This window comes from Homo sapiens, chromosome 11 (assembly GCF_000001405.40).
Source record: "Homo sapiens chromosome 11, GRCh38.p14 Primary Assembly".
NCBI lineage: Eukaryota > Metazoa > Chordata > Mammalia > Primates > Hominidae > Homo > Homo sapiens.
This window is the reverse complement of record NC_000011.10, coordinates 89,991,761-90,003,490: the sequence shown is the minus strand read 5'-3', so window position 1 is coordinate 90,003,490 and position 11,730 is coordinate 89,991,761. Positions and strand designations below refer to the sequence as shown.

The 11,730-nt window shown below is 36.4% G+C and overlaps 1 pseudogene across 1 annotated transcript; it reads left to right on the top strand.

Annotated features, from left to right (window-relative positions):
• The first annotated feature begins 982 nt into the window (after positions 1-982).
• On the top strand, positions 983-9,950 carry TRIM53AP (tripartite motif containing 53A, pseudogene; annotated as a pseudogene). Its single transcript, NR_028346.1, has 7 exons — positions 983-1,173; positions 3,750-4,164; positions 4,450-4,545; positions 6,279-6,509; positions 7,211-7,233; positions 8,090-8,187; positions 9,275-9,950. The product of NR_028346.1 is annotated as a tripartite motif containing 53A, pseudogene (transcript).
• The last annotated feature ends 1,780 nt before the right edge of the window (positions 9,951-11,730 follow it).

Here is an 11,730-nt window from a genome sequence, read left to right as displayed (position 1 = left end):
TGGCAAAGAATTCCTCTGTCAGAAAATGTTTGAGTAGCCGCTTCTGAAATCTCTTCTTTTTTTAATTGTCACATGACAACAAAAATATTTGTTATAGAAAGAAAAATATAATCCATCCCTATCATTTGGATTCTGTATTTGTGAATTAGCCTACGTCCTAAAAGTTGTTTATAATCCCCAAATTATTACATTGCATTTCTAGTCATCATACAACATCATGCACTATGTGGAGAAAAGCATTAAAATAATAATTTATATTTCACCCATGAGATTGGCAAAGTTTTGTAAATTCAATAAGAGACCTCAAATTAGTGGGGTTATTTGGTTAATCAGTGATTTCTCTTAGAGTGGTGGAAAATAAAAAAAGTTTTATCTTCCTGTTGGACTTCTCTGGGAATAGCCTATAAATGTACTAAAGCAGCATTTAGGGTTGGAAGAGGTGGTTTATGCCTGTACTCCAAAGCACTTTGGAAGTCCAAGACCAGAGGATCATTTGAAGACAGGAATTGGAGAACAGCCTGGGCTACAGAGCCATACCCTGACTCTATGAAAAGTTTTAAAAAACATTAGCCAAGTGGGATGGTGTGAGACTGTAGTCCTAGCTACTTGGGAGGCTGAAGCAAGAGGATCCCCTGAGCCTTGGAATTCAAGGCTGCAGTGAGCTATGATTGTACCACTGCACTCCACAAGGAGACAGTTTCTCTAGAATAAATAAATATGCCCTTAGAGGAATGCCTGCATCTTGGATGAAACTCAATAAACAGTATAAAATGCATCTTAGTTAATTTCTAGTGTATGTGTAATCTCATAGGATTTATGTTACATATGATTCACTTCAGTCACGGTTTTTTGGAATGAAGGAGTGATGATAATTTAATCAGTGGTGCAAAGGTGTGTTCTAAATACTGCATAAACCTAATCGTCTTATCCTCTACCTTTCTCAATACTCCACCCTGTTAAAGAGGTGGGTGTGGTCTTCACAGATTCTTATAAAAGGACATAGAAGAGACAAGCTCAGTTTTCTCCAAAGGAGAAGGAGCACACTTAGAGGGAGCTGTATTTTGGTGACCTCTAAAAGTCAGTACTGCGGTGAATGAGCTCCAGAACTTGAGGAGTACTTAACAGAATTATTTCTGGAAGAATCACTGTGGGAACCATTCAAAGAACCCAGCGGTGAGTGAAACTTATATTGATAAAATTATATCTTCTTTCCTTTATAAAATAATAAATTAGAGTGTTAAAAATATCTCATTATCTTAAATCTACACAATGATACCATTGTAATTCATATTCTTACTATAGATTTTATGAATTATGAGGATACTAATTGTTGTTATTTTGCATTTTCTATCTTCAATATAGTTTTGAAAAAATGGAAATATCTAGTGTTTGCTGCAACAGATATGTATGCATAATGAACATATGGAGTTGATATTAATACATATATGTGCACATAAGTGTGTGTAAATATATGTGTAATGAGTGCATTAATATTAAACAATTGAATTGAGAAGACATTAATGAATGTTAATTCATTCATTCAGCTTTTAGACATAACTTTAAATTAGCAAGGTAATGATGAGAGATGCAAAACAGTGAAACTGAAAAAAATGAGAAAGCTCCCCAAAACATCCTGGTTTGGAAATCAAAACAGTTTTTTGACCAAATAAATTTATAAGATATAATTTGATACGTGATGGTGGTTGCCATCTCACTTGAGTCTTAATCTTATTAAACTATGAAAAATTCCTTAAAATGACTTAGATGACCTCTGGAGAATATTTACAATTCTAAGATTTTTCATTTCTTTCACTAAAATTCAGCAGTGTTATCAAATAAAGGAGAGTAAAGAAAAGGACTTAAAATTGCCAAAGACCATAGTTTATATATTAGTCAGGGCTCTCCAGACAGACAGAATGATAGGATGTATATGTATACATGTAGAGATACATTCATGAGCCATTTCAGTCAACCACAAACCACACATGGTGGTCACATAAGATTATAATACCAGTGTGTTTACTGTACCTTTTCTGTATTTAAATATGTTTACATACTAAATAATTACCACTGTGTTACAATTGCCTACAGTATACCGTACAGAACATGCTGTACAGTTTTGTAGCCTAGGAGCAACAGGCTGTACTGTATACCATAGGTGTGTAGCAGGCTATACCATCTAGGTTTGTGTAAGTATAGTCTATAATGTCAAAACAATAAAACCGCCTGGCTGGGCACAGTGGCTCATGCCTGTAATCCCAGCACTTTGGGAGGCTGTGGCAGGCACATCACTTGAGGCCGGGTGTTCAGGTCCAGCCTGGGCAATATGATGAAACCTCGTCTCTACTAAAAAAAGGAAAAAAAAATGAAAAAATTTACCAGGTGTAGTGAGGTGTTCCGGTAATCCCAGGTACTCAGGGGGCTAAGGCAGGAGACTCGCTTTGACCCTGGAGGCGGAGATTGCAGTGAGCCGAGATTGCACCACTGCACTCCAGCCTGGATGATAGAGTGAGACTCCATCTCAAAAAGTAAATAAATAAAACCTCCTTACACATTTCTCAGAACATATATCTGTCATCAAGCTACACATGACTCTACCTGAGAGGGAATTCATCAGGAAAATTCGTTTGCTTGATTATAGAGTCTGAGCAGTTCTAATATAGGCTGTCTTTAAGCTGATGTCCTGAGGATACCGGTATCTTGACTGAGCTCAAGGCTGAAAGCCTCAGAACCAGCTTCAGGAGAAAGAAAGAGGAAATTGCCTTTTCTCTGGCTTTTTCCTTTTATCTGAGCTACCAGCTGATTGAATGGTGCCCACTCACATTGAGGGATGATGGTCCCACTCAGCTCACCAACTCACATGTCTCTCTCCTCTGGAAACACCTTCACAGACTCACCCAGAAACAATGCTGCACCAGTTCCCTAGGTATTGGTTAATCCAGTCACACTGATACCTAAAATTCGCCATCACACCATAGAGATGTAATTACACCTCTCTGAGTTTAACAAAAATCCTACTATATGTTAGTTCAGAGTTTGGGTATCCCTAGGAGAAGTTAATATAATCCACGAGAAAATAAAAAGGCCCCATATCTTTAATTATGTTTTTCTCTTCTATTAAACCAAAATTGGTTTAATTGCTGTTTTTTTGTTTATTTGGTTGGTTGATTGGTTTTTCTATTTTGTTTTGGTTTGGTTTTTTATTTTACTTTAATTTCATATTATTTTAAGTCCTAAGATAAATGTGCAGGACATGCAGGCTTGTTACACAGGTAAACATGTGCCATGGTGGTTTGCTGCCCCACTGTTGTGTCTCTAAAAATATGCCATAGGACCCTCTAGCCATCTTCTCATATTTCCTTGGCCAAGGCAGTTTTTCCCAGTCTTTCATACTCAGCAGTTACATGAAAGAAGAATAGGAACAACTACAATTTATTCTAGGCCACTTAGAATCAAACCCAATTTCCAGATCAACATTCAGAAAACGGGAAATTGAATAGATTGGTATTGTGTTACAGACAGGAAATAAAAGTATAAAGGGTTGTGAGTCATCTAGTCAGTAATATCTACTGTAAAGCCGAGAGACTCTCTCTGTGTGAGATTTTTATTTTTGTTACAGAATAAATAGTGTGCTGTGTTTTAATGAATACTGTCAAGAGAAGAAAATAGGGCTATCAGGTATCTCCACATGTTCCGAAACTTTTCATCGACCCAGACCCCAAAATGACATGTTGCTCTTTCTTCCTCAGAAACATGAATTCTGGAATCTCGCAAGACTTCCAGATGGAAATTACCTGCCCCATCTGCATGAATTACTTCATAGACCCAGTCACCATAGACTGTGGGCACAGCTTTTGCAGGCCCTGTTTCTACTTCAACTGGCAAGACATCCCAATTCTTACTCAGTGCTTTGAATGCATGAAGACAACATGGCAGAGAAACCTGAAAACTAACATTCATTTGAAGCAGATGGCTTCCCTTGCCAGAAAAGCCAGTCTCTGGCTATTCCTGAGCTCTGAGGAGCAAATGTGTGGCACTCACAGGGAGACAAAGAAGATATTCTGTGAAGTGGACAGGAGCCTGCTCTGTTTGCTGTGCTCCAGCTCTCAGGAGCACCGGTATCACAGACACCGTCCCATTGAGTGGGCTGCTGAGGAACACCGGGTAAGTGATGCCTCTGAAGATCTATTTCTATAAATGACACATGAAATTCCTGTGGGTCTATTTTCTTGGAGATTGGGTAAAGCCAAACCTGAGTCCCTTTAAGCAGCTCACTTTTGGGCTTTCTTAGCTTCAAACCTCTGAGATTTGACGAAGAAGAAGGGAAATAGAAGAAATGCCATTTCCTAGGGACTTACTTGTCTCTCATTCTCAGCCCGCTCCCTATGAAACGGTCTGCATGTTACTTTATTGTTTTCACTGGTGATTCAATTTATGGCTCTTTTGCAGGAGAAGCTTTTAAAGAAAATGCAGTCTTTATGGGAAAAAGCTTGTGAAAATCAGAGAAACCTGAATGTGGAAACCACCAGAATCAGCCACTGGAAGGTTAGTTCTGTACTACTCTACCTTCTACCTTCTCCAGGAACTTATGGTGGGCAAATGGGTGACTCTTAAAATAGGAACTTGTTATCAAACTCTAATGTTTCTGGGAGTCAATAAAAAAAAAAAAAGAAAACACTGAGAAAAAGTGACCTCATTTCTTATATAGAATAGTATGACTGTTAGAAAGGATTTCTAAGAAAACTACTGAAGTCACCCAAAGCATGCTGGTTTGTTTTCATACAAACCTGTAGCTATACACCAACAGATACCAGAAACTGGGCCATCTCACAGCATTCTATATGTGCTGGTTGGATAAATGCTGGGCACAAGATTCATTTGGCAGTCATGGAAAGCTCAAGTGAACCTTCTGAGCCTGGGTCAGCATTAATCTGAATGCTGGTGGACAAGTAGTATTTGGAATTGTATGGAAAATTTGAGGCAGAAAGAGTGACAGGGGAAATCTAGGGCAACCATGAAATTAAGAATCTCAACTAATTAATATTGAATACTACATAACATATGATGAGAAAAGTGGTGAGAAATATGGATTTGTGTCTTGAGGGAGACATGCAAACATGCTCAAAATATGGGAACTAGTATCTAAATATAAGGAAAACTCTAAGGACTTCAGAGAAATATTAAAAATGATTTTCTCTTTGTGGATGTATACTTTGAGGGTATGATAGCTAATATTAGTGTTTTGAAAAGTATTTCATAAGAACCTAGTCTATGTTGAATATTAAATTAGAAAATTTGACAGTATAGAAGAAAGAAAGCATCTTTGTCCTCACAAATCGTACAATCCAAATGAGAGAGGCAAAAATGGTCAACATGCAAATATGTGCAATACATGATGTGTTCGAGTGTGGTAGGTTCTTTGTTGGAGAATAATCAAGCAGGGAAGTAGAAAAGGACAATAGAGGCCAGAAACTGGAGATTAGTGTCTGATTTTTAAATAGGGTGGTCAGAAAAAAGACTCACTGAAAAATTCAATTTGAACGAAATTTTGAAGAGGAGAGGGAACACGAATGTGTGTATGTATATACATATATGTGGACCATGAACGTGTATATATGTATATGTGTGTGTGTGTGTGTGTGTGTGTGTGTGAAATTCTAGTTGGAGAGAACAGCATATGCAGTAATTTTGAGTTTGTGTATATTTGGAGGCCTGAGGAACCACAAAGAAGTCTATGTTTCAGAATGGGATAACTTAGAAAAAGAATGGAAGGAAATGAATTCAGAGAGACAAAGATGGCCAAATCATAAATGCAGCCTTATTAAGATAGGTTTTGCTGGGTGAAATGCATTTAGCTGGACATGCTAGTCTAAGGTCATTTCACATATAATGAGTTTAAGCAACTTGTTACGTATCTCAGAAATAGAAATAATTATTTCCTTTCTAGTAACTATAGCTCTATACTCCAACTCTTAAGCATGAACTGTTCTTACTTTTCCATAAATATTGGCTGGAATAGCGAAATTCAAATTGTGTTTTTTTATTTCCAACTATCTGAGAAAACACATTATCTTGAATAAATTTAATGTAATTGGTCAGATACATCTATGTTGATTTTTATACAGAAAGAAAGGAAATGAACAAAATTTTGTGGATTCTAAGAACTAGCAAGACTGAGGTTTAAATTATTGGATGTTCGAGTGACAAACAGAATCAGTGAGATTTAGTAGGAGATGGATATATACATTTCTCTTTTGACTAACCCATTATCACTGCAGGATTATGTGAATTTAAGGCTAGAAGCTATGAGAGCTGAGTATCAGAAGATGGCTGCATTTCACCATGAAGAAGAAAAACATAATTTGGAGATGCTGAAAAAGAAGGGGAAAGATATTTTTCATCAACTTCATTTAAGTAAAGCCAAAATGGCTCATAGGAGGGAGATTTTAAGAGGAATGTATGAGGAGCTGAAGGAAATGTGCCATAAACCAGATGTGGAGCTACTTCAGGTACAAACTCACAATGTGGTTTCAGGTTTTTGAATATTCACATGTGTAAGTATATTCCTCATGGCTGAAATCCATCTCCCTACCTTTATTTCCATGATGTGTTTCCAAAAACACATTCGCATAACTAATGCTACTTTGTTGGGAGAGTATAGCCCCGCCAAGGGATTCTACCAGGCCAAAGGTCCCTCCTACTTTATCCACCAGCCACAAAACTTTGTGGAATGGTCAAGCTGACAGCCCCAATAACTATTCCCCATCTAAGTCAATAATATATTTTGGGTTGTTTAACATGTATAAAATAGTGAGTGATTCATTTACATTTAGGTTAATTTGAGGACATGGCAAGATCAGAAGTTTTGGGAATCTAGGCTCACATCAATATTATTTTGAGGTCCACTCATTTGGGTAATAGGTTCTGGGAAAGATGACTGGGTAGGTTATTTGAAGTTATCACAGAGCATAGACTCTCTGGGCCTCTTCTCCCTTCACTTCTGGAGAGAATGTCTTCAAGACTCAGACTTTACCAGGACATTAATTAATGACAAAACGACTAACTGGGATTTTCATTACAGAAGAAACAGAAAATGCTTTCCAGATGGTAGGGAAATAATATCTTTAGATACTGACTCGAAATTTCACACTGAACTTAGTGAAAGGTGCATCTTGTGAAATGTCCTACATATTTCTATTTTTTTTTACAGGGTTTCGGAGACATATTACACAGGTGAGTGTTTACCTAGATTTTAGTATATATTCTTTCAGTTTCCATGAATATCAAAGCAGGCTCTACCAAAGTCATGGCATAAATGATTAAGATATTGATACTACCTTTTTTTTGCATCTGCTTTCACTCTCACACCAGAAAAGACAAGAACACTAAATAAATAAATAAATAAATAGTGAAATAAAAAAAAATGTTTATTCCTGATTTTGTTTTATTGCTTAAAAGCCTGCATAGGTGAAAGATAAAGTTTTGTTTTGTGGATGGTGAGAAAGTCACCAGAGGAAGCAGGAGAGAAGTGGGGGAAGTATTTCAGCAGTGAAAAAGTTGATGATTTGTTGTTCATACCTACATACATATCAGTTAACAGTCCTGAAAAATAGGTTGAAAAAACTGTGGAGTATTAGAACTGTATAAGTCTCTAGGGAGGCTTGTTTCTAAAAGGCAGATCTAGCTGCCTAGAACAAGTTTCACATTCTTTATCTTGAAAAGGAAGCAGCAGATGCAGCAGTCTCCCCAGAACCCCGCTATTTCAGACAAAGATGTCAGGGGAGTCTGCCAAGAAGTGGAACTCAGAATTTCATTTCCAAATATTCTCAAGGCCATAAGGCTAAGGAACCTTACACATGTGGGGCAGAAAAAAAAGAAGGATCAGACTGAATTCTGACTCAGACTCTCCCACTATGCTTTAAAATTTGGAAACTGTAAATAGAAATTAATTCCAAAAAGGAAGGAATAATTTTTGAGTAATCAAATTTGTGGATTCAAAGGATTCTCATGAACTGTCTTTTAAATAGAAATAGTGGTTTTTGTTTATTTTATGGCTGTAGATGTTGTAACTGCAGGTTTTTCCTTCCAGGAGTGAGTCCGTGCTGCTGCACATGCCCCAGCCTCTGAATCTAGAGCTCAGTGCAGGGCCCATCACTGGACTGAGGGACAGGCTCATCCAATTCTGAGGTAAGTCTCCACCCACAGGCAGCACTCCCACTATCTAAATATTATTATTGTTAGGACCACATGGGTAATACTTCACCATTTATCAAATATTTTACTTCTTTATAGACATAAGTGAACAACATAATCATGCAACCCTTTTGTATCTGTGTCTGTATAGTCAGATTTATAGCATTAAGTTTGAAAGATAGTGAAAAACAAATACATTTTGGCCTCATATGTACTGAGTAATGTAATGGGAAAAAAGAGTAGTGTAGCAAATTTAAAAAAGGAGCAAATGGAACAATGCTCAGAATGAAGGTGAGTTATTTAATGTTAAATACAAAATTTTACATTTCCTTAGTGTATTCATTTGAACAGCTAAGAACTTTTTTTGGGATTATGGTTTACTGGGGATTGCTGAGGGTTTTTAATTTTTTAAATGGATATGTATCATGTATTGCAAAAAAAAATAGTTAATGGGTAAACATAAAAAGAAGAAACCATTTTGTGAATACAAGTAAAATTACAAACAAGAAGAACTTCAGTTTAATTGCAATATGAAGAGCTACATGATAAGTTTAAAATCCAGCTTCAGCCCCAAGCTAGCATGGAGGACCACAGAGAGACTGGTAAAAGATTTTACAGAAATCTGCTTTAAATTGTCACTTACGACATGTACTTACGGATTTTTATCCAGTCATCAAGAGCAGTTCTTGAGTAACTGAAAATCTTCACATTCTTTCCAAAATGATAGCACTAGTTTTTAAGAATAAGAAACATTTCTAAATAATGATCTTGATAATAGCATAGCATTTAGGGCATATAATGTGCAAATTTTGCTTTGAAAATTGGATTGAAAGAAGTTGGTCTTACATTTGGCTCTCAATAAGTAAGTTTTCAAAACATTTTTAATACCTGTGGTTAGTGTTTTGTTTGTCTTGTAGTTAATCATCTCTATGCTTTATTAGAAGTTAGAAGCAAAAGTGTCCTTGTGACTCTACATTTCCTGGTAAATTAACTTCTTGATAGAACAATTTTTGCTTATTGACACATGTCTATGCATGTTTTGTTTCTTTCTCTTTTATTTATTTATTTATTTATTTTGCAGTGGATATTACTCTGCCTCATAATGAAGCCAACAGTCATATCTTCCGATGTGGAGATTTGAGAAGCATGTGTATTGGATGTGACCGTCAAAATGTGCCCCATATCACTGCAACACCTACAAGTTTTCTTGCATGGGGTGCTCAGACTTTCACCTCTGGCAAATATTACTGGGAGGTCCATGTGGGGGACTCTTGGAATTGGGCCTTTGGTGTCTGTAATAAGTATTGGAAAGGGAAGAATCAGAATGACAATATATATGGAGAGGAGGGACTCTTTAGTCTTGGATGTGTCAAGAATGACATTCAGTGCAGTCTCTTTACCACCTCCCCACTTACACTGCAATATATCCCAAGAACTACCAGCCGCATAGGATTATTCCTGGATTGTGAAGCTAGAACTGAGCTTCGTTGATGTTAACCAAAGCTGCCTTATATACACCATCCCTAATTGCTCCTTCTCACCTCCTCTCAGGCCTATCTTTCGGTGTATTCACCTCTGACCAGAGATAAATCAGAAATGTGTTCATCTGCTGTGAGAATCCCTTTATTCCAGGAAGCCCTCTTCCTTGTGCCTTATCAAACAGGACAAATAGGTTCTGTTTTATGTCTTGAATTGCCTCCTAATGTTATTAAAACTCATTTATTGTGTTACTATTAAAAATGGTAAAAACACTAAAAGTATATGTATTGGTTCTTTATTAATTTTTGAGAAATCATTATTCGTGATCATGGCATACAGTATATTCTGTTTTTTTTTTTTCTTTATTTCTGACTGCCACTGAGTGAAATAATAGATGACAGACATGTCTGAATGGAGTTAAAATCAATGGAAGAGAGTCGGGATCTTTTGCTTCATGCAAAAGCTTGGAGTGAAGTCTTGATAGCTGGGAAATGTTTTTCTTTCTCTTTACCTAACTATATTGCACTTATCCATCACATTTCATTTTACTAATCTATCCTTTGAGTTAATATTATTTGATCTTCCATGCTGGGCTTCATTTCGGAATTCTCACCACATAGATAAACAATCCTGCATTAGTGTGCTCTTCTACATTGAAATACACAAGGTGGTCAGAACAATGCTGGATTAATTGAATTTTAAAAAACAACTAAATATTGACTCCTACCTCAAAACACACACAGTCATTTCCAAATAGATTCAAGTCCTGAAGATTCAAGTCCTGATACAATATTCTCATAAGGATTTCTTAACCAGGACAAAAATTAACAATTAAAAAAATTAGTCGGTTTATATTAATAACGACTTCTGTGTTTCAAAAAACATGATACAAGAATTGAGATGCAAACAATTAGTGGAGAAAGAGATTCACCCGAACTATATAAAATGAAATACAATACATGTGCATGATGAATACTTAAAATGTATTTTAAGTATTTTTCCAGATTCTTCCAGAGTGGCATAGAATAAACTTGGATGGCAGAGTCAATGATGAGATTAGCTGTGGAAATGGGAAACCGTTTTTTGGAGGACAGTAGTAATGCTGTGAACCTATGAAAACAACCAATTATTCAGTAGCAACTAAAATGTGTCTCCATAAGATTATTTTACAGATGCGTATCTGAAATCTGAAATTTGGAAGAACATTCTACTAGTGTTCTCTAGTGAAAAAATACAGCTGGAAGGAAGAAGGGAGGGAAGATGAAGGAGAGAGAAACAGAATGCATTTGAGAGAAAATGCTATTTAGACTAAAATAGAATACTGCAGATACCATGACAAAGTGGTTAAGGTGTGTCTTATGGAGCAGAAATGGCAGAAAATACCACAGTGAAGAGATTTACAATTGGATTGTTAGTTCCGGCTTTTATCCTGTCAATGTTGTGGCTTCTAAACACATCAGTAATCTCCTTTGATCCATGTGCTAATTAACAACCAACACTCTGCCCCCTCTCCCAGATTCTTTCCATCGCTTTAAACCTAATCTAATTCTAATCCAGCTGGTCACTGTAACACATGTAATCACCTAATAATTTTAAAAATATTTTTGATGAATAAATGAAAAATTAGCTAGGTGCAATGGCATAAACCTCTAGTCTTTTTTACTTTGAAAGCTGAAGTGGGAGGATTACTTGAGCCCTGGAATTCAAGGCTGTGGTGAGCTAAGATTGTGCCACTGCATTCCAGAGGGTGAAACTTTCTTTGGTATAAATAAATAAATGTGCACTTAGAGGAATGCTTGTGCCTTGGGAAGAAACTCAGGAAACAGTATTAATCAATTTTAGTTAATTTCTAGCATATTTACTCTGATAAGATTGATGATAGATATGCCTCATTCAGGCAGTGGTTTTTACAATGATAGTGTGATGCTAATTTAATCAGTGATGAAAAGGCGTGTACTAAATATTGCATAAACCTAATCATCTCTGCTGTCTCCACCTTTCTTAATACCCTAAATATCACTAAAGAGGTGGGTGTGGTCTTCAAAGATTCACATAAAA